The following is a 26,577-nucleotide window of genomic DNA, read 5'->3' as shown; positions in this document are numbered from 1 at the left end:
AAAAAATCTTGGCATTTTCTTTCCTTGAATTCATTCCTTAAATGGAATTAGCACATTTTAAATCCTTATGATTATCATTATTGACGGAATGATAGCATTTGGATCCGCAACAACCTTTTCATTGTTAATTGAGTGCTGAGAATGGGAGATGATATAGTTATTCTGATTTTTAAAAACTAGAAAATGGAACGTGTGAACAGTGGCATATGAAGCTCTTTGACAGACCTAGGGCTAGGACTCAAGGCATGTAATTCCAAAATCTTTGTTTAGTCCCTTAGGAAATAGCTTCTCCTGAGTTTTGTCCTGTTGATTGTTTGGCAGTTCCCTTAGGAGACTAAATTTGCTGAAGAAAGGCAGCCTGGAGCAGGGTTAACAGTAGAAATTATCATTTTTTGGATCCACTGGCCTTGTAACATGGGAGAAATCTCCACTCCACCTTATACACACCTTTTTCTCATAATTTGTTGGAAAATTTATCTTAAAATTCAGCATCAAATTCAATTGATCGTTTGACCTACTGACTTTTAAGAACAACACATTTTTATCAGATGCTTTGTTAGACACTGTCAGATAATCAAAAGTACTTCCACTGGTTTACAGGTTCCTCGAGAAGATGGGAGTATATTCTGATGTGCCATGAATTTATTTTTTTAGAAAAGCGTAAGAGAAAATACAATACTTGGAAAATAAATAAAATCTGAACGTAACTTTTATCACATCCCCCAACAATGAAGAGATGAGGCATGAACATGCTCACCTCTACCCATTGTGCCTACTGTGCTGTAGGTATTGCCGAACATATGGTGCCTGGTGTCACCCACTGTTCTCATTCCCCCTTCCCTCTGAGATGTGCAGACCAGACCCCATCAGCATTTCTAGGGAGGATAATATAATGATATCAAGTTACCAGATTTTGATGTGTGAAAAATGAACTAGGTAGCACTTTCCTAGCCATGGGAGTATATGCAAACAATGTTATTGAGCAAATATTATGAATTAATTTAATATAATCATTACAATAGAGAAATATTCTCCATCATTTCAATTGTCATTCAGTTGTCACCAGGAGAACAAGTATTACTGAATAAATACGATTTTCATCAGGATCAAGTCTGATTATTGGTTTATTTTAATCTAGTTTTTGTTTTGTTTTGTTTTGCCTGGAAAAATATTTACCCTGCTTAAGTTATAGATATTACCTGTTGTTTGAAATGAAATTTCTACCTTTATCTGCCCCAAACTTTGGGTTGACAAAATAATTCCACAGATGAAAACATTGCTGAGTTATAAATCCATATTATTACTTTCACAAAAATCTAGCCTGTGTCCAGGATAAAATGACAATGGCACTTTGAAAGAAAGTAGATAGCTTCAAATTATGTCTTTGAGTTATGGTTCTGGGCTGTGAATTAGGCTCAGAACAGAGAAGAAGAGAAACATTTCCGTTAATATTCCCACAGTGGAAGAACAGAAAGGGGTAAAAGAGCAATCATCACATTTTCACACTCTCAAAAGTAATGGGATAAAGATGTTCCCCGTAACTTTAGACCAAATGTGTAGACAAAGGAAGAAAGTGTGTGTTATTTTACTCTCATCTTCTCTCATCTCCTTGGTTAGAAATGTGTCGCTCAAGCAACTACTTATTCAAATAGTAAGTGCTTGAGGGTAGTTACCGTTATTGAATCTCATACTGTATTAGGGACTGGAATGGGGAAGCACCCTAACTGCAGAAGCATAATCTCACTTTTCAGAGCAGTGATTTTCAAACTTGAGCATTCATCAGAAGCACCACGAGGACTTGTTAAATAGATTGCTGGGCCCACCCCGGAGTTTCTGATCAGGAGGTATGGGTGGGACCCAAGGATTTGCATTTCTAATAAGTTCACAGCTGATACTGACACAATTGGTCTGAGAACCACTTTTTGGGAACCACTGCTCTTGAAAGCAGCACAGCAAAAGTGAAACATATTTTGGAATGCAAAACCTGTTTCAGCTGTGGCTCCACCGCTTCTTAGGTTATTTGCCTCTGTTGCCCCTATTTGCTCATGTACAAAATGCGGAGTACTAATATCTGCCTCATCAGGTTTTGGAGTATGTGTGAAACTATATGTGATTGTAGCCGCATCTTTATGTAAGTGTATGAAAAATGCATATGCAACTGGTATGATTTCCTTCATCAACTTGGAGTACTAATGCAAGTCCGTCTTTTTTATGTTTCCAGTTAATCATTCCTACCTCCACTTGTCCAATGTAGATAGATGTTCAATGTCTGCCTCTTGAGACCACCTCCTTCCCCCAAAACATATATCTCAGGAGTTTACTCAGTTTGAAGAACAGTCCACCTTCCAACTCTAGAAGAGAGAACCTCAGAGTCTAATCAGCCCACTGACCTTTATTTCTGCTCCACCACACAATGTCACCATTTGAAACTCAGCTCACACCATCGGATGGAATTTTTCATCTGTACAATGCTCTTGCTAGACCAAGTTTCGTTACAGGCCACAGTGGTGCCCCAAACTTAGGATCCAAGATTGCGGCTCTTTCAGCTCACACACATACGCTGTTATTTCCCTAAAATGTGCCACTGTACAGGGCAATTGGGTATGATGGGTTTTCAGTCTAGGCCACATGCTGTGCTAATGCCAGCACCCACTGCTACCTGGCCCAACCTCCAGACCATGTTATGGTGCCAGGGTTACCAGTCTTGACTCCCCCTTTTCTTGAGATGAATGCTCTTGTGTGACTTAGGGTGCCCATTCTGCAATCTCAGTTCTCCTCAACAGGACCCCAGTGAGGTGTTCCAGCTGTCCTCCCTGGGTCTGTGCTTGTACATCTGAAATCTTCTAATAACCTAAAAAGGGAAAAGGGCTGGAATTTCAATTGTTTTATTTCAAGATTGGTCCTCAATGCTTATGTCAGCTTACCTCCCTCAATGGCCTGCCTTCAGTGATTTTGCCGACCATCCCCACTTCTTCCCATTCCCCTGGCTCTACTGGAAAAGTCGTAGCAAGTAGGAGGCTGTCCCTAACTAGTAGCCATTACCAATGACCACCAACCTTCTTATAACTCCACTCTGCTCTCCCAGGTGATGACATGGGGCTCTTGCAACTGAGGATACTGCTGATCCTTTACAGAAGTTGGTTTTTCATCTATCCATTACTTGAGATGTGGAGGTTTTCCTTGTCCCCTTTCCTAGTGAGATCCGGTCTTGCCACACACTCTGCCATTTGCTCACCATGCAGAATCCCTGCAACATTTCACTCTTTGCAACTGGGTGGGCAATGCGCTAAAAGCAAAGATCCTCTTTGTCCTCTCTGTTAAAAGCTGAACCAGAGCCAGTTCCAAGCAGGCCTCTTGCACTCCCTCCTTTCTTAACCCTTCCGTAACTTTCCAACAGAAGGCACAGCAAGGCCCATCTCACCCCCACCAGAGGAAGAAAAAAGAGGAAGACAAGGAAAGGAAGGAAACTTGCCCCAACCCAAACCAAAAACTTCCTAGTGTGTGTCCTTGACACACAATGGAGCAGTTTCTCCAAGGATTCTGGGGTGGGGGTGGGAGAATGGCAGAAAAAGGGAAGAATCGGCTTTTTTTAAAAAAAAACAAAAAACTGATGAAGTGGCAGAGTTAAAACTTTCCCTCAATATTTGTGTGCAGAATCTATATCTAGTGCTTTTAAAAAATCATTGTTGTTAAGATATAGCAAAATAATAATTACCCAGTCATTCAATAAAAATGTGTCCAACGCTTGTTCTGAGTAAGGACTGTTCTATGTGCCAGTGACAGTTATGGGAAGAATGGCGCAAGGAATCCACCCCATGGATGCTTTGGGTCAAGTAGGGAGCTCCAAAGACACGACATTGATGACGTGAGGATCTGTCACAGCAGTTCAAGGTTCTGAATGATGAGCCCCATAGGAGGACCATAGAGCTATTCAACCCAGAGCTCGGAGAAATTGTTTTCTCCTCAGGAGGAATTGTTCCCATGCTGTGCCATGATCTCCTGGCCTCCTAACAAATGAGACATGCTCTCTGTGGTGTTTTTCTCTGCTCACAGGGACAGTAAGCATCTATTCTATATATTCTGTGTACATGTTTTCCCTTGGGGTTGATAGCAGCTCTCTTCTAAATGGGTTAACCAGCAGCAGAGATGCAGCCTGTGGTTATGAAATGGAGTCATTTTTACTATTAGTTTATGGACAATAGTGAGGAGTTTGTGTCGCCTGTTCCACCTGTTATTAACTATTTTAACAATCTCTCTTAGAAGTATGCACAGAAATACATTCTGGGTTTGACAATTCTATATTTCAGATCATATCTGGCATTCTTCAAAATAGAATGAGCTCAATAAATAATAATAATAATACCTAACTTAATTCTTAAGTAACAATTCATAATTTATAAAACTGGTACGAATACATGAGCTCTTTATAATAACTCTATGAAGCAAATAAAATAATCTTCATCGTTATGGATAAACTGTACCTCTGAGAAGTTCAGAGCTTTGCCTAGATCTCAGCCAGGGTGACTAATTACTGAGGGACGTTTGGCAATATCTGGGAGCATTTTTGGTTGCCTCAACTTGAGGGGCACAGAGGGTGACTACGGGCATTTGGTGGGTAGAAGCCAGGTATGCTGTTAAACATACTGTATGTAATGGCCAGGATATACTTCCACGTCAAAGAATTTTCCAGCCTGAAATATCAATAGTGCCAAGGTTAAGAAAAGCTGCTCTAGGGTCACAAAGCTGGTAAAATCTGAACCCAGGTATATTACTCTAAATCTAGTATCTTTCTATGTCCCCCAACTGTAAAGCTTTCATCTTGAATTGAATGGGGAAGCATCACCTATTACATTTTACATTATGTTCATTTTGGTTTCCCTTTTTCCTGAGCTCTGGGGAAGGGGCGGAAATTTTGCCTTTAGTAGACAATGAAATGTTGCTATAATATAAAATCATACCTAGTGATTCTGGAAAATCTTTCAGCATAATTTCCACCTCTTTGCAACTTTATCAAACTCTGTTGTGTCTGCAATTACAATTTTTTGGACTACAAAGGGTGATAAATTTTCCTGTGTTTCTCAATTCTAAGACTAAGATAGACAACATCTAAAACCATGTAAGAGAGATGGGAAGCAGGAGTAAATGATTGATTAGCATGTGTGTGTGTTCTCAATTATTGATGGTAATGGCCCGTGGATGTAATGTGAACTTGCCAATGCTGCTGATAATCGAAAAGTCATTTTTATTGAGATTTGGAATATGAAACACTTTTTAAAAGGAGAGTCATCTATCTAATAATCACTTTAATTTTGAGGTAAGCTACTATAGCAGTTATTTTTAATTCCCTAAATACACATCACTGTGAGGCAGGAGAGGCATCCAAGAATGTGCTAGTCAGTGGCGGATGCCAACAAAGATTAAAAATTGGAACAAGATTAGTAAAGGAATGGCTAAAAAAGCTGTGGTATAGGCATCTCCTAGCCAAGGGCAGGAGAGTTGAGGGCGTGGATACCAGAGCCAGACAGCCGGGGTTCTGACCCTGACCCTGAAAGCTTACTAATGTTATGATCTTGAGCAAGTTACTTAATTGAGCAAGTTACTTAATTTCTCTCTGCCTCAGTTTCCTCAACTATAAAATGGGAGTGTATATAATACCTACCATATAGGGTGGTGCTGAGAACTAAATGTATCTTAAAATGTGCCTGCCACATAGTAAGTGTGATAGTGCTATATATTTTCTATATTTTGTAGGCATTAACGTGAATCCGGCAAACCTATGTATAGTGATGTGAAAACATGGCATGACATCCCGTTAAGTGAGAAAAAGAAAAAGAAACGAAAGAAAATCACAGAGCCATAATTATCACACTGGCGCATTTATATTTTAAAAATCCCTAATGACTAGACAGGTGACTTATAAGTTGCACAGTGAGGAAGAACTTGAAGCCTTTTTATTCCATGAGAGAAGTTTACAATCACTTTCCGGTTTGGGAGTAGGTGAATACTTGTCACCTTGAAGCCGACCTTCTTTTTTTCTTTTTTAAGACAGAGTCTCACTCTGATGGCCCAGACTGGAGTGCAGTGGCATGATCTCGGCTCACTGCAACCTCTGCCTGCCGGGTTTAAGTGATTCTCCTGCCTCAGCCTCCCAAGTAGTTGGGATTACAGGTGCCCACCACCGCACCCAGCTAATTTTTGTATTTTCAGTAGAGACAGGGTTTCACCATGTTGGTCAGGCTGGTCTTAAACTCCTGACCTCAAGTGATCTGCCCGCCTTGGCCTCCCAAAGTGCTGGGATTACAGGCGTGAGCCACCGCACCCAGCTTGAATCAGACTTTCCTTTCCTTTTTTTTTTTTTTTCTCAGTTATGGAATGTAAAATCAGAAGTCCAGTTGGGCCTCAGGGAAAGGGCACAGAAAGACCTTTTAAGTTCCTTCAAAGGCCACCTCTCCCAAGATCCTTTGGAATGTGAATCTGGTCACTTGGGAAGAGGTGGGCAGATGGTGCAGGGGTTCAAGGAGCCCTCTGGAAGGACAGGCATCTTGTTGGTTACTATACAATACTCCACTGTAGATTATATGATTTATCTACTCAATTGTCCCTCAAATTTAGGTTTTCCCAGTTTTGGCTATTATGAGCACAGCTGCTTTGAACATTCTATATATGTATTTTTGTGGATACAGCACTTATTTCTTTTGAGTGTGTAACGTGGTTAGAACCTGTCTACTGTATTAACATGGTCATGTCTGAGGTCTATTGGAAAGAATATACAGGCATTTCTCTGTATCTGAGGGTGATTGTTCTGGGCCTTCCTGCGGATATCAGACTCCACAGGTGCTCAAGTCCCTGATATAAAATGGCACAGTATCTGCATATAACCAGTGCCATCCCCCCATATACTTTAAATCATCTCCAGATTACTAGTAATACCTAATGCAATGTAAATTCTTTGTAAATACTTGTTACACTCTATTGCGTAGGAAATAATGGCCAAAAAATAGTCTTATATGTTCAATACAGAATTTTTTTGAATACAGTATTTTTGATCTGTGGCTGGTTGAATCCACAGATGTTGGAACCCCCAAATAAGGACAGTCAACTGCACTCCAATGGTCCCAAAGAGGAATGCCACCAGAGGGTAGAAGAACCTATCTGGGTGGCAAAGCCTGTATACTGTGGCCTAGGAGTACATGAGGGTGACCACTTCTGGTCCAGGTGTAGCTGAGGTGGAAAGCACATTTGAACAACCTTCCTTTGCCCAGAGTTCACACCCGTGAGAATGGACAAAGTGGATAATATTGGAGTCCATGTGTACGGTTCCACTGTCCCTGTGTAGAACACAATATTAGACATTGGAACAATGAAGCACTCTAGGACAGTACTGGCCCTTTAGAGGTTTAGAGTCTAATTGAGGAGGCAGCAGCAATATATAAATCTATACATCATAATAATTTATATTAGAAGCAATATGTTCATCTCATACATTGCTGGTATGATTGCAAATTGGTAAAGCCACTTTGGAAAACAGTTTGCTGGTGTCTACTAAAACTAAAATGTGCCTATCTGTGACCTAGCAATTCTAGGCATGTAATAGGTGTATCCTAGGTACATATTCAAAAGAAACAAGTGCTGTATCCACAAAAATATGTATATAGAATGTTCAAGGCAGCTCTACTCATAGTAACCAAAACCTGGAAAACCTAAATTTTGGGGAAAATTGAGTAGACAAATTGTTGTATATCTACAATGGAGTATTACACAGCAATAAAAAAAAACAGCCTTCTCCTACAGGCAACCACATGGACAAATCTCACAGATACAATGAGTGACAGAAGCCACATGGAGTTGAATATACACTGGATGATATATTCCACTGGATGATGTTCCAAGTTCAAGAACAGGCAAAACTAATCAGTGGCAACAGAAGTTCAATGGGATGGGTATTCACTATGAAGCAGAAGGAGGAAGCCTTCTGGGTTGTTGGAAATGTTTCATATCTTGATCTGGGTAGTGGTTACACTGATGTATATATAAGTAAAAATTTATCGAGCTGTACAGTTTTTCACTTTTTATCATACATATATTGTACCACAGTTTTTTGTTTTGCGATAAGACTCTCACTCTGTCACCCAGGCTGGAGTGCAGTGGCACGATCTCGGCTCACCGCAATCCCTGCCTCCTGGGTTCAAGTGATTCTCCTGCCTTAGACTCCCTTGTAGCTGGGGCTACAGGTGCCCACCACCACACCCAGCTAATTTTTGTATTTTTAGTAGAGACGGGGTTTCACCATGTTGGCCAGGCTGGTCTTGAACTCCTGGCCTCAAGTGATCTGCCCGCCTCGGCCTCCCAAAGTGCTGGGATTACAGGCATGAGCCATTGCACCCAGTCTGCAGCTTTCTTTTTTTCTCAAGTTTTTGTGTTAAGTATAATAAGTAAATGAGTTCAGAGCACTGAGTGATGGGTGAAGGTCAAGAAGTCAGAGCAGACTTCAGAGGGGAGGGAAGAATTGAGGTGGATTTGATGGAAGGCTGGAACCTGCACAGGGAAACTGCAAGAGGGAAGTTGGATCATGGAAGGAAATATCTGAGAACAAATGCATTGTAGCACAGATGCCAAGAAAGCTTGGAAAATCTTGAGCTTTCTCTTCAACACTCATCTTCCCTCCCCACCAGTTGAGAAGCCTTGGGTATTATGTAGGATAATCTTCACTCAGCTCCAAGGGTAGGCTTTGATAGATTTGAGTCTCAGCAACATAATTACTTAGGGATGAATGTAAACCAGTCATGACATAATTTGAGTCAAAGGCAAGTATATTCCTAAAATGGTCCAGTCTCACCTCAGCTGAGGCTTTAGTTTCAAGGTTCAGGGGGCACCAACAGCTATCTCCGTCTAGAGGCAAACAAAAGAGTGATTGCTTCCATTTTTACTGGTAGCCATCTTGGTATCATGAGGGAGTTAGCCTGACATAAAATTGGGCTGAGTTGAGAGAAAAGTAGAGAAATGAAGCTGGAGCTGTATTTGATGGCTCTAAACCTTTTTGGATTTGCAAGCCCTTTATCATTTAAGCCAGTTTGAATTGATTTTTCTATTGCTTCGCAACCCTGATGGCTTTTCTGCTAATCTATACACAGCATTTCTTGAATGCTCGTTTTCATGGCCATAGCCACAGCCCTATTTCAGAATCTCATAAGCAGTAGTTAAGTGAACTGCAGTAGCTTTCTAACTGGTCTCTGCCTTCAGTTTCTTTTTACCTTAATTCATCCTCCATGTTGCCTCCAGAATGTTCTTCTCAGGCACATCTTATCACTGCCACCATGTGATCATCCTAATGGTTCCATGCATTGTGAAAAAAGGCCAATGGCACATGTATACCTATGTAACAAACCTGCGCGTTCTGTGCATGTATCCCAGAACTTAAAGTATAATAAAAAAATAAAAAATACAAAATAGAAAAAAGGCCAATGGATCCAAATTTGCTGGGTTTTAACAGTTTAGTCTTTTGGTTCTTCTCACAAACCCTAACAAGATCCTTACTCTCTAGCCTTCTCATCTTTGCCAGAGTTAATGCTTCAGCCCAGGACATTCTTTTCTCTCTATCTGCTTCATGGGAATACCACTTTTCTTTCCAGATTCAACTCTAGTCTCATCTCTTCTAAGAAGCCTTCTAAGATCTCTCCAGCTGATAGCAATGACTCCTTGCATTATAGTTTTACGGCATGATTTTACCACTTGATAACTCTCTATATAGTTTGTCAGGGGTTTGGGTGATTTATTCTTGTCTAGCCTACCCATTAGCATGTAAAGGCTGGGAAGTTAAGGGCCCCAGTTTTTCATCTTGAATGAATTCTTCATTGCCCCTTGCATAGTGCTTTTCATAGACAAACTGCTCAATGTCTTGTGTCCTCAATGTCATGTGTCCTATGCTTAACTGACTAGAGCAAAGACTTCCTTTAGGAGAGGATATGGAAATAAAGTTGGAAAAGTTAGGTGGGGAGGGGGTTGGAGGGCAGCTTTTGGAGGATTTTAAAATCCAGATTAGATATATTAAGTGCAATTATTTTACTGCACTTTGGAATAGGCAAAAGATTATCTGTTTTCCAAAATTTCTTTCATTCCTTCTATATTATTTACTCTTTTTAAACTTTTACCTTTTTTTTTTTGAGACAGAGTCTTGCTTTGTCACCCAGGCTGGAGTGCAGTGCTGCAATCTTGGCTCACTGCAACCTCCGCTTCCCAGGTTCAAGTGATTCTCGTGCCTTGGCCTCCTGAGTAGCTGGGGATACAGGCACACACCACCACACCCAGCTAATTTGTGTATTTTTTTAGTAAAGACAGGCTTTCACCATGTTGGCCAGGCTGGTCTTGAACTTCTGACCTCAGGTGATCCGCCCACCTCAGCCTTTTTAACCATCTCCTTTTCTTTGGGGGAGAGGGAAGGGGGAAAGCAGCTCTCGGGTTTGAAATATCATGCAGTTTGAGAAGAAATAGAATGCAAAGATGATTAGCTTTCTTTTCTCCTCTCCATTATAATCCCATAATAGACTTCATGAATACCCTTGCTAGCAAAGCAATGAGGGCCATTGCATTAGACTGTTCTCACATTGCTATAAGAAACTACCTAAGACTGGGTAATTTATGAAGAAAAGAAGTTTAATTGACTCACAGTTCCACAGGCTGTACAGGATGCATGGCTGGGGAGGCCTCAGGAAACCTATAGTCACAGCAGACAAAGGGGAAGCAGGCACATCTTCACATGGCACAGCAGGAGAGAGAGAGCGAAGGGGAAGGGTTACATACGTTTAAACAGCCAGATCTCATGAGAAGTCACTCACTATTATGAGAACAGCAAGGGGAGTCCGCCCCCATGATTCAATCACCTCCCATCAGGCCCCTCCTCCAACACTGAGGATTACAATTTGACATGAGATTTGGGTGGGGACACAGAGACAAACCATATCACCCATCTACTTGAGCAGTGGCTATAAACTTTTTTTTTTATGATAACCTAGTATGCATGTACTATACTGTATATTATACAGCTGAAACAAGACTTTTGTAAATCAGCAATACTCTTGTTATGATGCAAGTTAGTATTTTCCGTTATGCCATTTCACTTCAAACAAACAAAAACAAAAAGTTGATCTAAATCAATTTCATGACCATTAAAGAAACGTGTTCTTCTCAGGCACATCTGATCACTGTTGTCACATGCACGATTCTAAAGGTTCCACACATTGTGAAAAAAAGCTAATGGATCCAAACTTCCTGAGTTTTAACACTTTAGTCGACATATGAAAAATGTGGCATTAAAGCATATGTATCCTAATTACTAGGTTACAACTGTTGAATGAGCTAAGTGCTTTTGCCAGTATTTTATATTTAATTTGATATAATAATTTTATGACAGAGCATTATACCCTTTTAATAGATGAGAAAAGAGAGGCTTAGAGGTACAGATCCAAGGTTACACAGCTGCATATGGCAGAGCTGAGATTTAAACAAAAGTAGACCAAGCTTCTGCTTACAGCTCAGTGACATGTGCCATAGCTTTAAGTGACAGCCAATGCAATGAAGATTTCCATGTGCTGATTTTTTTCCAGATGGAGTCTCATTCTGTCATCCAGACCGGAGTGCAGTGGCACCATCTCAGCTCACTGCAACCTCCACCTCCCAGGTTCAAGCTATCCTCCTGCCTCAGCCTCCTGAGTACCCGGGATAGGCGTGAGTCATCACTCGAGGCTAATTTTTGTATTTTTAGTAGAGACGGGGTTTCACCACGTTGGCCAGGCTGGTCACGAACTCCTGACCTCAAGTGATCCACCCACCTCGGTCTCTCAAAGTGCTGGGATTACAGAGGCGAGCCACTGTACCTGGCCTGCATATGCTGATTTTTAAACTTTCAGCACATGCAAGGGAAAACGAGACCACCGACGTACAGACAAAATGCTCTCCAGCCTACAACTTCATTTCTTCTCTGGATCTCTATTCTGGCCCTAGAAATCTGCAAGTCCTCCAAAAAAAATGACAAAACCCTTAAAATAGAATAGTCAGGCTGCAATAGAAAAAACAGTTTTATGATTAGGAGGAAACTTCTAGAAGGCTAGTACTAAATCTTTTTCAGTCTTCTTTAAATTACCAAAATTCCATGGACACTCAGAATGAAAGATTGTTGAAATTTTATTTTTTTCCTTTTCCTTTTCCTAAACTCCCAAACCATCTAAAAGCAGGCAAAATCTAAATTCTACTCTGTATATGTCTAGGTCTAGTAAGGAAGGTTTATTATCTTAAACATCAATCTGTTATGTATGACTTGATTTCTAAAATTGCTTAATTTTCTGGGTCATTCCTGGAGGAATACTTATGCACTACGCAGTGTGTTGGGTCTTAAGGATACAAAGACCTGCTCCTCACCTTTAAAGGGGGAACATGCACTGAAAACAGAGAACATAATAAACCAATAATTGTGCACAGTGGGACCCATGCAGAAATAATGGTACAAGGTGTTGAGGAAAGACAGTGAATTGAATCGTAATCCTGCCAAGGCAGAATTTTGATTTTTCCTACTTTTAGGTGTTTTGAGGGTTTGGGAAAGGAAAAGGGAAAAACGCATCTTTGACAATCTTTCATTCTTAGTGTCCATGAAGTTACATTAATTTAAATAAGACTCAAAAGATTTAGTGGCAGCCTCAGAGAAGGCTCCTTCTAATCATAAAACTGTTTTCTCTGTTGCAGTCTGAGTGTTCTATTTTAAGGGTTTTGTCATTTTTTGGAGGACTTGCAGAGTGGGAGACTAGGGCAGGAATGGAGATCCAGAGAAGAAATGAGGTTGTCAGCTAGAGAGTATTTTGTCTGTACCTGGGTGGTCCTGCCTTCCCTTGTGTATGCTGCAAGTTTAAAGTTCAGCGCATGCAGATCTTCCCTGCAGTTGTCCATGACCTAAAGCCATGGCACATGTCACTGAGCTGTAAGGAGAAGCATGGTCTACCTATGTTTAAATCTCAGCTCTGCCATATGCGGCTGCGTCAGTCTCCTCCTCTGTAAAATGTTAAAATGTTATAATAGTGAAGCAGTACGATGACAGCACCTTGTATTGTATTAAAAATAATGAAGACACTGTCCCCATGGCTTGGTAAAGTAAGGCAATTATTGTACTTACATCTTTAGGGTCTAGAGCTTAAGCGACAGGAGTCAGTAGCCTGCTGGAAATCAAACTCACCAGCAACATTTACTAACAATGAAATCAAGCTAAAATGAAACCCCAAGAAAAACTGGAAAAAATATGAAAGCTGCACTTTTTAGGGTAAAGTGTGCATCTTGAGGGTACAGACAGATTCTTCATTCATTTATTTAACATATAGTTATTGAATACTTTATATGTGCCAGGCACTGCATGGGTGTAGAGACATGGAGTGGACAAGATTCATGTACTCTGGCATCATGGAGTCTACAGTCTGATGAGGGAGCTGGTCAATGTAAAAGGAAATGCATCAACATGAGGATCCCATTTGGGCACAGTGGCCCTAAGCTAATGTTATGGCAGAGAATAATACGATTGAGTACTTACTTTAGACAGAATAGTTAGGAAGGTCTGTAGGAGGAGGTGATGTTTAAGCTGAGACCAGAAGGATGGATGACAGGGAGTTAGCCTTGTGAACAGTGACGGAAAGAATTAAGAGACCAGCATATGCAAAGGCCCTGGGGTGTGTAGAGGACTGTGTGTGTCATAAATCTCTGGACTTCTTTCACACAAACTGGCTGAAGCTCTCCCCATCCCTGTTGCCAGCTGCCTTTCTGACTCAGACTTACAGTGTGAGTAGGGCTCCAGATTGAGGTCCTAGCTGGTTAGTTATACCCATTTGACTTATCAACCTAAAAATATGCTGGGATAGTCTTCCCTTTCTACACATTTGCCACAGGCTATATCTTGCTTACTGTGAGTTAGCCATTCAATCAAGACTGCCCTTGACATTTATTTCATTCTGATTTTTTTTTTCCTACATTTTTGCCTCAGGTCCTGAGAGAATGGCTGCTGACACAAGGTAGATGCTCAAAAATTACTTGCTGCATCTTTGGATGAATTTCATTAGAGCATCAGAGAGGAAATTTTTGTTGTTGTTTGTGGCGCTATTTGCTTGTTTATTTTAACACAGGTGGGACTCGGGGAGAACAAACTGGATGGAATTTGAAGGAGAATGGTAGGGCATTCTGGATTACCAGAGGGCTGCCTGGCTATGCCGCTCCTTAACGACATGACCTTGGCCCAGTCATCCCACTTGAGCCCTGACATTCTCAACTACAAATGAGGGCTTTAGACCAAGTACCCTTCAACATATAATGTTTTTTGTCTATGAATCCAGTGGCAAATATGGGGTATCAATATTTGCCACTCCTTCCATACTACTGTGAAAGAAGCATTATCTTTAGGCATTAATTCAGCTCATGCAATAATGATGCCTTATATTTGATAGAAATTTGTCATTTACAAAGCACCTTCATTTACATTATCTCATTTGATTTTAACCAGTCATGTAAGGTATTTAAGATAGTTATAATTTTTTTTTTTTACATCTGACATAATGTGAAACTTGCCCAAGGTCACAAAGAGACAGAAAAGGGAATGAATGACACTTGTCTGTGCTGTTCTGAGTATAGGTGGCACAATGAATCAGATAGGATCTCTATCATGTGTGAGTGAAGCAAATTTTTTTAGTTTACCCCCTAGAATAGCGGTCACTACTTTAGAAAAAAATGTTAATGACAGTGTTGACAATGTTGAAATGTAAATAATCTTTTTTGTATTAAGTTCTTTAGTAGTAAGGATCAGAAAAGTACTTAGGTTAGCTCACCTGGGGAAGGGGAACATTGCAGGAATTAGCAATCTCATGGACAGGGAATACTGGACTCCTCATAGTAATTGGGAAAGAATCTCTAGGACTTAATTGTTTGTCTGCTTTTCTTGGAACTCCCAAGACCGTTCTCTCTTATCTGAAGAGCAGTTTCCTCTGCTTACTCATGGTTCTTGTTTCCCTATAACCATGGCTCTCACATGGCTTAGCTTGCTGGGACCAGGTCTGGCCCACTGACTACAAGATGGGCGTGATCCATCACTCACCATAGGCTACGGTCAATCTCTTCCTCTTCGCTCCTGGGGTCCAATCTGCTGGGGCTGGTGGGGCTGGGGCAAGAAGGAGTCATGTGGCACCCCCATCAAGTTCTACCTTGCTATGAACTGAATGTTTGTGTCTCCTCCAAAATTCAGTTGAAACCCTAATTCCCAATGTGCTAGTATTAGGAGGTGGGGTCTTTGGGAGATAACTAGGGTTAGCTGAGATCATGAAGGGGGAGCCTCCATGATGGCATTAGTGTTCTCATAAGAAGAGGAAGAAAGACCAAAGCTCTCTCTTTCTCCACTATGTGAGAATTCAGTGAGAAGGTAATCATTTGCAAGCCAGGAAGAGAGCCCTCTCCAGAACTTGACCATGACGGCACCCTGATGTCAGACTTTGTAGCCTCCAGGGGTGTGAAAAACAAATGTCTGCTGTTGAAGTCACCCAGTCTGTGGTATTTTGGCCAGCCTGAATTGACTAAGACATACTTCTATATGAGGATTTATGAACAGGTTCCTAGGCAAGGGAGTCTGCAAATTGAAGAGGCATCCCAAAACATGCCTACTACCCCTCCTTTTTTATTTAAGTTTCACAGGACCCTCTTGGTTCTCCTTTTCTTAGGTGCCTCCAATCTTCTAAGTATAACATTCTGTGACAATTCTGTGACAGAATAAGTATTTATTCTCTGATAATTAAGGAAAAACAAAAACAAAAAGAAGACAAAACACCCACATTTGTCCCTGAAATTTAAAATACGAAGGGTTGTTCCCTGGTTTTCTGATTGTAGGGTCAAAAAACGAAGAAGCAACGAGACTAGCAATTGGATACCTTTAGATCCCAAACTTCATCCTATCATTGGTTTCTGGATAGATTATTTATTGCCCTTGAAATTCAGCAGAAGGGGGCTGGGTGCAGTGGCTCACACCTGTAATTCCAGTACTTTGGGAGGCCGAGGTGGGCAGACCACCTGAGGTCAGGGGTTTGAGACCACCCTGATGAACATGGAGAAATCCCATCTCTACTAAAAATACAAAATTAGCCGAGTGGGGTGACGCATGCCTGTAATCCCAGCTACTTGGGAGGCTGAGGCAGGAGAATCGCTTGAACCTGGGAGGTGGAGGTTGCAGTGAGCCAAGATCGTGCCATTGCACTCCAGCCTGGGCAACAAGAGTGAAACTCCATCTCAAAACAAAACAAAACAAACAAACAAAAAAAGAAATTCAGCGGAATGAGGAGTCTTAAAAACCTAAAAGCTAGAAGGGGTTTTATTGGATTATCTAATCTAACCTCTGGATTTTACAGCAAAAGACATTGACATTGGGCCTTAGTTCAAAGAATGACTAGAGGTAGAGCCAGTGGAATTTCTCCTAACCCAACGTTTGTGATCTTTTCATTACATCATCTAAGCAGAACCTGTAGGGGTTAACTCTGAGAATTGGGGATGATGCTTGTGATAATGCAGCAAAAAGTAATGTCTAAATGTAAGATATTATTTTGAGATGAGAACACCGAATGGGGATGGAAGACAGGAATCTTCACCATGTGTGAATGTACAGGAAACAACCAATAAATGCCTTAATTCTTGTTCTGTAAAAACTTACATGTAAGTAAAAGATCGCCGAAATTGATCTGAACTCTGTTACTGCCACAAACTTTTATCAGCAAATGGAGATTAGGATGTTCCCACTGCCAGATGGTATATAGGAATATGGTTGAATGTGGACTGTTATCACAGACTGTCTGGTTTCAAAGGTGGGCTCTGTCACTCAATATAGTTGTGTGACTTAGTTAAGTTTGTACCACTTACAAAACTTCTTCCTTGGGTCAAGCTACTCAATTTTACTTGCTTCTGTTGCCCAATATACAAATTACAGTAGTAATACATACTCCATAGGGTTATTCTTAGGCTTAAAGTAGCCAGTATTTGTGAAGTTATAGGAACACTGTTTAGCATATAGTAAACACATGTGTTATCTGTCATTATTATTACTTGCTTTTCTGTTGCAAAGACTAAAAGCTATTGTTTTGGAGTAGGGAAATTTCCATTTAAAATTCCATTGGCTAGGTTAGCGGTATCAGTTGATTTAGCAAGGAATTAAGAGATGAAAAGGAATTATTTCTTTCGTGGTGGCTTCATCTTTATCTGTATCCACTATAAAATTCGTAAAGTGGGCGTTATTTGCTTTACACAGACCAGAAAACAGGCTACAGAAGGTAACTGCTTGGCCAGAAATGGGTTGAGTCAGTCGTGGCTTATGGCACAAACTACATTTGAGTCTACAAAGCAATAGATGAAGGTCTTCGCCAAGTGAAGACTTTTTGGACTTGGAAAGTTCACACACTTCCAGCGCTCTATAAGAAGATAGGGTGGGGGAGTTGGAGGAGAGGACCCACATCCCTCTTCCAGCCTAGGACCAACTTGGCCCAGAGGCCTTTTCCCATGCCGCCCAAGGCTCGCTGAGAAATCTGGCTCCACACAGTGGGAGAACCCAGGGTCAGGCTTACTGTGAGTGAGGCCGGCCCAGTCTTTCCCGAGCCTTCCTCAGGGAGACCTGGGGGTATCTCACTTCCCTGCGGAAGTCTGTGGAGTTTAATTTGTAAATTTGTGCCGAAACTACACTTTTGTGTCAAAGAGCAAGGACGGCCAAGAAGCGGCAACACGAATAAGAGCGCAGGGAAATGGGGCCTGCGAACGACCTCGGCCTCGGGAACTCCCACAGTGCCGCCCCACGCGCGACGCCTACCCGAGAACAGCCACCCGCCTCCGCTCCCGGAGGAGGCGTGGTCGACCAGCACCGCCATCTTGGCCGCCTCTCTAGGCGCTCTGTTTACCACTCTATGGTCGCCTGCTCCCGCCCCGCCCCTTCCCAGTCATTGTCTGGAGGAGCAGCCGCGGCCGCAGCTCCTTCTCTTTATAAGCCCGCAGTTCCCGGATGTGAATGGATTACAATGTATCTTTCAGGGAAACCTATTATTATCAATGTGACTCCACGGGGGAGTCCATGGTGATGATGATGAGGAGGAGGATGATGATGATGAGACACCTCTAAACTTGGAACAAGTTTAAGACTTTATGAGAGAAGAAAAAAAATCACCAACAAGAATTGTTTGAGGAAAAATTATAACTATCCTGTGTTCATTTTTTTTTTTATAAACAATAAGAAAAAGTTGTTGGATTTTTTTTTAATGATTTCTTTTTTGGGGGAGGGAATTTTGTTGCAGTTTTATGGTGGAAAATGCAAAAACCAGAGCCAGGTGCATAATCTTGTAATCTGTGGATATCCCTGGAGCAGGACTGAGTACCAGTTAAAATACTTTTTGGGGATACACATGTGAGATACTAAGTACTTGCAGAAGATTTTTGTCTCTCTTTTTAAAGTCTCTTTCCTTGGAATATTGTGAGAATATTTGTGGCCATTTAAGGTAACGTTTCAATTTGCCGTCAGAGTAAACTGTTTGTAATTGAATTTAATTTTTAAAATGTCGATCCCGATGTTTTATTAAAACAAAAGGGACAACCTATTAAATAATTGCCAATGGGAAAAAGTGTGTGCATGCATTTTGTGTATGTACTCGCACATCTAGCAATACCAGGATTTGTAGAATGTGTGTTTTTTTTTTCAAACACACGTTAAAATAGCTTATGTTGCATATACCGGATAAAGCACGCTTGTTATTACGAAACGATAGAATTATGAAGCTTAAATTTTATCCTAAAAAGTGATGTGAAAAAGTATGTTTTAAGAGCATGCAGGGCCTATAATGGTAAATGTTGAATTAAAAACTTACAGTGCTGGCGAACAGGGACTTAGCGTGCCTAGGAACTCAAGTGCAAAAACAAAACAACATCCACCCCCAAAAATTGCCCTTTTTTTTTTTCGAAGTTTGCAGTTATACTATTCTGTGACTTAAAAGGGAGGGGAAAGAAAGTATGCAATTCAGATTTCGCCCCCAACGCAAAACTACCGAAACGAAAATCTCCCCAGGAAAATGTGGCTTGATTTATAGACGAAAAAGAAAAATATTGTTCCTCTTGGCAAAGTCTTTTTGCATCACGTGTATTTGCAGCCTAGTATAAACTTGCTTTGCCGTGTGTGGATGTGTGAGTGAGAGGGAACGAGAGTAAGAGAAAGAAAGAAGTGAGGGGATGTAAACTCGAATAAATTTCAAAGTGCCTCCGAGGGATGCAACGGGCAAAAACTGAACTGTTCAGGCTTCAGATTGTAACTGACGATCTGAGGAAAAATGAGGTGCTCGATGAATTTTCGTTTGTATTTTTTGGCGAGGCGGGGGAGGTGTTGAGATTTTTTTTTTTTCCCCTCGGGGTGGGTGCGAGGGGGATGCATCCTAGCCTGCCCGACCCGGAGCAAGTCGCGTCTCCCCGCCGGAGCCCCCCCACCCATTTCTTTGCTGAACTTGCAATTCCGTGCGCCTCGGCGTGTTTCCCCCTCCCCCCTTCCCTCCGTCCCCTCCCCTCCCCGGAGAAGAGAGTTGGTGTTAAGAGTCAGGGATCTTGGCTGTGTGTCTGCGGATCTGTAGTGGCGGCGGCGGCGGCGGCGGCGGGGAGGCAGCAGGCGCGGGAGCGGGCGCAGGAGCAGGCGGCGGCGGTGGCGGCGGCGGTTAGACATGAACGCCGCCTCGGCGCCGGCGGTGCACGGAGAGCCCCTTCTCGCGCGCGGGCGGTAGGTACCGGCGCCTGCGGGGCTCGGCGGGGCGGAGGCGCCCGGCGGCGCGGGGTTCGGGCTCGGCGGCCCCGCACGCGGCTCCGCGCCTCCCGCGCCGCGGGCTCCCGGCGCCCGGCGCTCCCAGAAGAGACACCCCTTCCCCTCCCGCCGCTTCCCTCCCCCTCGCCGCCAGCCCCCCCGCCCCTCCCCTTGATGCCCCCTCGGAGGGACCGAGGACTTTGCCAGGGGCCTGACTTTAATTTTTATAACCCCTTTCTTTCACAAATTAGGGTGCTGGACAATTAGAGGACCCGACCCTCCACTCCGCTCCCCCCAACCCTGTCACCCCACCCCTCCCCCTTTGGACGTGTTTTCACTCCAGAGACGCTCATCTTTAATTTCTTGATAGCTACTTTGAAAAGCGGAGGGGAGTGGTGTGTGCGAGTGTGTGTGCGTGTGCGAGTGTGAGTGTGCGAGGGGGGTGGGGTGCAGGGTGGGGGGAAAGTTGAGATCGGATCGTTCTCAGTAGTTTCTCTTTTCTCTGTGATCCATTCATTTCTCGCTCTACCTCCTGTTGCATAAAATGATGCGCTGAAGAGCGGCTTTTTTTTTTTCTTTCCCTGATTTGGTTTTATAGTGGATGTTACCAGTTTGATCGTCTCTTTGGAAATACAATATCGCTTTTTTTTTTTTTTTTTTTTTTTTTTTTTTTTTTTTTGCTATTGCTGCCTATTCCATCTTAAAAAAACAAAACCAAACCCAACCCAACAACAAGTCTCCCATCCCTTCCTCCTTTCCACCTTAATCCCACCCGCCCCCACGTCCCCACCCCCAACCCCCCAGTCTCCAAAAATCCGATTGTGTTTTCTCCAAGGATTGGGACTGGATTTTCTGATTGCGGTTATTTCCATGTTTCTAGGTTTGTGTGATTTTGCTAAAATGCATCACCAACAGCGAATGGCTGCCTTAGGGACGGACAAAGAGCTGAGTGATTTACTGGATTTCAGTGCGGTAAGAAAGAACGGTGGAAACTAACAACAGCTGTGAAAAAAACAAAACAAAAACCCAAACACTTCAGCTAGAAACCAGTAGGAATCTAAAGGACAGTAATAATTTTTAATTGGCTGAATCCTTGGTAAATATGAAGGTCTTTTTGACAAGTTTTTAACTATAATTTTGTGGTGTGATGGAAGATTCAGGCTTTTTTTTTTTTTTGAGTTTTATTACTGGCCTTCAATTCCCTACCCACTGATTACCCCAAATAATGGAATCTCACCCCAGTGGAAAGCAAAAATAGACACCCCTAAAACTAAACCACCCCTAAAACTTGGCCATGTCTGAACACTGAGACTACTAATACTTTGCACACTACTCTTCGTTTTATTTATTGTTTTTGGAAATGGAAAATAGAAAATAGGAGACCCAGTTGTCTCTTTAAAGTTTTAAGCTAATGATGCTTTGGATTGGTAGGACCTGTTCCTTACATCTTACCTCCTAGTTACATCTTTTCCTAGGATTCTTAAAACTAGTATGGATATGCTGAGCATACATTCTTTAGAACCTTTTGGACTGTTTTGGTAAATTTCGTAGTCGTAGGATCAGCACAAAGCGGAACTTGACACACTTGTGGAGTTTTACGGCTGTACTTGGTCCTTCTCCATCCCTTTGCTTCCTTTTCCTAAACCAAGTCCCAGACATGTCAGGAGAATGAATTCATTTTTAATGCCAGATGAGTTTGGTGTAAGATGCATTTGTAAAGCAAAATAAAAAGAATCCACAAAACACACAAATAAAATCCAAACCGCCTTCCAAGTGGGGCTCTTTCATGCTGCTGCTGCTGCTGCTGCTGCTGCTGCTGCTGCTGCTGCTGCTGCTGCTGCTGCTGCTGCTGCTGCTGCTGCTCCTCCTCCTCCTCCTCCTTCTCCTCCTCCTCCTCCTCTTCTAGACCTTCTTTTGGAGAAATGGCTTTCGGAAGTTTTGCCAGGAAACGTAGCCCTAGGCAGGCAGCTTTGCAGCCCCCTTTCTGCTTGTTGCACTTTCTCCATTCGTTCCTTTGCTTTTTGCAGGCTCTGACTCAGGGAAGGTGTGCATTATCCACTAGATACGTCGAAGAAGAGGGAAACCAATTAGGGTCGAAATAAATGCTGGAGAGAGAGGGAGTGAAAGAGAGAGTGAGAGTGAGAGAGAGAGAGAGTCTTGCTTCAAATTGCTCTCCTGTTAGAGACGAAATGAGAATTTAGTGCAGGTGGCACTTTTATTTTTATTTGGGTTCACATATGACAGGCAAATCCTATACGAGATGGAAATGGACATTGCCACGTTTATGGCCAAGGTTTTCAATATAAAACAAAACAACTTTTTTCTTCTCCTTGGTGAAACTAGTGTTTTTCTAGAGAGGCTGCTGGCCTCCAACCTGAATCTTGATAACATTATGGGGACTGTGTTTGTTCCAAATGTAGCAGTAGTACTGCTTGGCCATCTAATGAACCTGAGGAAAAAGAAAGAACAGAGTGATAATGGGGGCTGGGGTGGGATCTGTAATGTTGTTTCTCTTTTAGTTTTAAGTTGGATGGTGATGTATTTTACTAAATAAACCCTTAGCATAAACTCTAAGCTGTTTGGTAACAGTATGAAAGATCTTTGAGGAGCTCTGAAGGCACAAGTGTCTTCTTTTCAACTGTAATATTTCTTTGTTTCTTTTAGATGTTTTCACCTCCTGTGAGCAGTGGGAAAAATGGACCAACTTCTTTGGCAAGTGGACATTTTACTGGCTCAAGTATGTAAATTCTTTTCTTAGTGTTAAGTTAAATGTTCTGGGCTGTTTATTTACTCAATTGTATGTTTTTGGCTCTGTTGAAGAGTTCTGAAAAAGTCATTGAATTTTAGCCTGTAATCATACGGTTATTGCATTACCCATCAGTGGTATAACTTACACAAAATGTTATCTTGTGCGATTAAAATTAGGTCTTTTTTTTTAAGTCAAGGAAACTCTCTCAAAATTCCATCACTTAATTTAAGAGCAATTTTCTAATACAGTTGTAATCAAACACATGAAGATAAGACCAGTGTTAACATGGGGAATAAATTAATGTTTTCTATTTGAAAATAAGGGGAAAAAATCTCTAACATTCATAAAATGGGAAAATCCCTTGTAAATAATATCATTTATTAGGTACTGTATACAATTAACCCTTTTAAAGAAATGAACACTTAATTCTGCAAATGAATGCTATGTAGTAAACCATAGCTGTAAATAGCCTCTTGCTAATCTTAGAGGCTAAATATGAATTCATTTATATTTAAAATACCCTTTTTGATGCTTTAGCTGTTTTTTTTTCCCTAACGATTTACTTGTGCAATGAATTTTTACTGTATTTAAAGTTGCAAATCTGGAAGGACTTTTACGTTTTATAAATGAAAGATCTTTGGGTGATGCTTAAAAAAGATGCTAGCACTATTCACAAAGGAATCTGTGTGCACAGTGATTATCTGGAATCTAAGGAGGGGTTTATTACAGGGCTATTCGAATATCTCTTATTAAAAGTGCAGAGTGAAAATATTCATTTAAAATGTATTTTTTTTAATCCAATGAATTTCAAATAAGAAAAAGTTATACATTGTTGCCTGCTATCCTTTAAGTCCGTGGCTTAAGTCCATTTATGCTTGTTAAACAGCTGCAGTATTTTAGGAGTTCTGGCAATGGTATATAACAGTACATTAGGCCAAGTACTATTCTTAAGTCAGACTGGTAAATGTTGACATCTTTTAACTGTGAGATGCCAGTGGAATTGTCTGTCAACTATGAATATAATTTAACATCTTTTAATATTCATTTGGTGCTATAGCAATGAAAGAAGTTTGTTCACTTATGTGATTTGTATAATTGGTATATTTTTATAAAACTAATGGCTTTAAAAGTTGCTCATTTCCAAATAAGTTCCTTCTCCTTCTATTGCCTGCCTAAGTTTAGGGAATTTGTGTCTCGATAACTTGTTTTAAAAAATGTGAGATGCTTCTTGTATTTTTATTTTAGTTTTCTGGTGCACATTGATTAAAAGGACCATTGACAGACAATATGTTTGTGTTTTACTATCCTGGACCTGGTTATGTTTTCCACTTAGGGATTTGGGATAGTTTTTATATTAGTATTATATCTTTAAATTTCTGTATGGTATCCTCTATGCAACTTTTAAGATGGAAAATATTAATATGCATGTTTGATGTAAAGGTAAGGACAAGTATCTTTTGTGGGCAAATTAATTTTTCATGTTAGACAAGATCAAAACTAACTGTTTTTGACAGTAATTTTTTTATGACTTAACTTAAAAATGTGTATTCAGTTTCAATCTAAAAGTAGCTTATGTCAGACAGACACAGAGATAGACTACTTTTAAAGTCAATGCTAAAAAACTAGTTTGCAATGTTGTGAAAATATGCATTTAGAATAACTTAAGTATATTACATTAGATATTTAATAAAGTAAGGTGTTTAGAAATATGAGATTGTGTTACATTTAAAAAGACAACTGTATGTCTGATCCATTTTCTATGTTCACATTTAAATAAAGTTCTTGCTGTGATGTTTAAATGTTTATAGAGAGTACAGGCTTAATAAGTTGAATATGTATTAATGCATTTTGGTAAGTGATGATATATCAACACTTACACAGTTCTGAAGACAATAACACACACACATACACACATACACACATACACATACACACATATGTTCATGCATGCAAACCTGGAGAGAGACTTCACTCTTAATAAGTCATGTTACACTGCTTCTAATGCATACACAGTGATTATTTTGAAGGTGTGGAACTTTAAGTTACGTTGTACCAGAAATGGTGTTTTCAGGACCAAATGTTTACTTGTAAGGGTAAAAAGTGTAATGGTCCTTTTATTCTGGCAGCCTGAATGAGAATGCAGGGTATTCATTTCATGTAGTATGATGGTGATTATAATATGTAGGGTACAGATTGGAGTGTTCAGTTTTCCTCTATCAAGATAGTATTTGAACACAGGGCTGTTAGTTAAGAAAACGGGTTGTATTTCCACTTAAAAGAGTTAAATCTTTTAAAAAGCGTAATACATTTTAAAAATCATGAATACTGCATTTTGCCCTTTAATTGGAAGGATCAACTAGGAAACTTTGGAGAGAGAAATAATTTTCTAAATTTACCTCAAGTTAATATCCATTGTCTTGAGTGGACTCAGATGTCCCTTTCATGGATTGCTTTGAAACTTGGATTTAGGAAAGATCTAAACTATAAGTAGACTGTTCCTATTTGAAAAATCAGCTATGGTTTTTCAAAGTGAGGCATGGTAATAATTCATGCTTAAAGTTCCCAATAGCTTTTGATTCCATTAATATAGGATGCTCCATAGTGATTTGCAATGTGAGAATAAAAATAAAGTGTGGCCATATTCCCTTTAATCTTTCATTTCACAAACATGGTTTTTCCTACCACCTTAAGAAATGGTGAGGCTGCTAGGGAGAATGGAATGTAACCTGAGCTACAGCCTGACATTCCCAGGGAGCATTTTTCACATGAAAGGCTTTTGTCAACCCAGGAAAGGACTAGCAGTTTTTGTTTGATGTTTGCAGGTGTTCAGCAGAAAGCACTAAAACAATTCAGCCATGATGGTTCAGAGCTTCGATGACCTTAACAGGGAAAATTGGTGGGCTCTGGAATTATTTTTAAGAAATAGTTATAACCTATATGGTAACTTAAACAAAGGGATTTAATATCCGTTATATCATTGATCTTAAAACAAACTAAAAGCATCCACATGCCTGGATGATTGGAAAATTATTCTCATTGAAAAGTAGGATACCTAAGTTACCAAAAAAAGAAAATCATCTAAAGAGTCTATAATTTATTGATGAGTATGGACTTAATTTTCTGATATAGCAGAAGGACAGTTTATTTGGTTACTTTTGACTCTTGTGAGGAAAAGATAAACATCCTAGCTTTGACATCTTTTTAAAAAGTCGTTTTAAAGTTGGGCCACTAAAATGATACATTCTAAAGAACTTGTTAGATCAGGTCTGGTCACATCTGTTACATGTATTTACTGCTGGTCTATGACAGATACTACATCTTTCTCCCTTAGTTTAAAAGTTGAGCTTTTTCCCCTGTGACTGTTTAGTTTTACTGAGGTGTTCAGGTATTGTTAAAAGATTGTCAAATGAACGAGTGTTTGAACAATTAAGAGCAGCGTTAAAACACACCACATCTCTGTTGTGGGTCATTTTTGGAAGAGGAAAGTATTGCCTGAAATTTACCTAAGTTAGCTAACCTATATCCACATGACACCAACATAATATGCCAATTTAGTGAATTCATTGAGGCGGAAAAAAATCAGTCCGGTGGGTAGTTTTGTATGATACAGAAAATTAACGTGGTCACATCCTGAATTAGTTTTGAGTTCATAGTGATGGCATGAAAAAAAAATTGGTTTCCCCTTAAAGATATTTGTTGAGGAGAGCTGCTTAATATTGTGTGTGTGTGTATAAGTGAGTGAAAACACCCTTAAAATCGTAAATGGTATAATTCATAAGGGTTCTGTGGCTTTTTGTAAAGGGCAGAGTAATTTAACAGGTTAAAAGAAGTACAGTGGCGTTAAACCCATTATGTTAGAATCACAGAATTTTGGGTATAGAAACCCATTAGAAATGTTGCCCAGTGCCTTCATTATACAGGCAAAGAAAACTGAGGCCCAAGATAAGGAGTTCCAAACTGTGCTTTCTTATTTGTTATTTTAAAAAACAAGTTTTTATTTGCTAATTCTCTATGGCCC

At 40.6% G+C, this 26,577-nt stretch overlaps 1 protein-coding gene and 1 long non-coding RNA gene across 34 annotated transcripts in view, besides 4 other annotated features; one reads left to right on the top strand and one right to left on the bottom strand.

The window, feature by feature from the left end:
• The window catches only part of TCF4 (transcription factor 4), a 413,773-nt gene that overhangs the window by 28,131 nt on the left and 359,065 nt on the right, over positions 1-26,577 (top strand). For 6 of the 32 annotated variants that reach the window (NM_001369573.1, NM_001369570.1, NM_001369574.1 and 3 more), the window contains exons 1-3: positions 19,635-19,789; positions 20,691-20,782; positions 22,475-22,547. In NM_001369573.1, the coding sequence (NP_001356502.1) occupies positions 20,711-20,782; positions 22,475-22,547 (145 nt within the window). In that variant the 5' untranslated portion in view covers positions 19,635-19,789; positions 20,691-20,710. Of the gene's footprint in view, positions 1-18,015; positions 18,531-19,209; positions 19,358-19,634; positions 19,790-20,690; positions 20,783-21,704; positions 22,017-22,474; positions 22,548-26,577 lie in introns of those variants that run through there. The other 26 variants (NM_001369584.1, NM_001369576.1, NM_001369577.1 and 23 more) reach the window with 8 other exon arrangements.
• Positions 2,373-17,928, bottom strand: LOC105372126 (uncharacterized). 2 transcript variants are annotated; one of them, XR_007066381.1, is made up of 4 exons: positions 17,852-17,928; positions 10,664-10,747; positions 8,837-8,889; positions 2,373-2,851 (listed from the first exon to the last, which is right to left on the bottom strand). It is a non-coding gene; the product is annotated as an uncharacterized LOC105372126 (long non-coding RNA). The 2 variants fall into 2 exon arrangements; XR_935479.3 differs by lacking the exon at positions 8,837-8,889.
• Positions 17,821-18,050: an enhancer, noted in NCBI's record as "active region_13360". NCBI's record gives its function as "activates an Ori minimal core promoter by ATAC-STARR-seq in GM12878 lymphoblastoid cells {active_cell/tissue: GM12878}" and the evidence as "EXISTENCE:reporter gene assay evidence [ECO:0000049][PMID:35858748]".
• Positions 21,598-21,669: a repeat instability region, noted in NCBI's record as "repeat instability region; expansion of the (CAG)n trinucleotide repeat is associated with Fuchs' endothelial corneal dystrophy (FECD)". NCBI's record gives the evidence for it as "EXISTENCE:polymerase chain reaction evidence [ECO:0000082][PMID:9302263, PMID:26200491]" and "EXISTENCE:Southern hybridization evidence [ECO:0000078][PMID:9302263]".
• Positions 21,598-21,673: a tandem repeat, named in NCBI's record as "transcription factor 4 repeat instability region".
• Positions 25,052-25,646: an enhancer, noted in NCBI's record as "OCT4-NANOG hESC enhancer chr18:53249412-53250006 (GRCh37/hg19 assembly coordinates)". NCBI's record gives its function as "activates a minimal SCP1, AML or CMV promoter by ChIP-STARR-seq in naive H9 embryonic stem cells {active_cell/tissue: H9 hESC(naive)}" and the evidence as "EXISTENCE:reporter gene assay evidence [ECO:0000049][PMID:30033119]".

This window comes from Homo sapiens, chromosome 18 (genome assembly GCF_000001405.40).
Source record: "Homo sapiens chromosome 18, GRCh38.p14 Primary Assembly".
NCBI lineage: Eukaryota > Metazoa > Chordata > Mammalia > Primates > Hominidae > Homo > Homo sapiens.
Note: the sequence above shows the minus strand (reverse complement) of the source record. Positions and strands in the feature narration are given on the sequence as shown.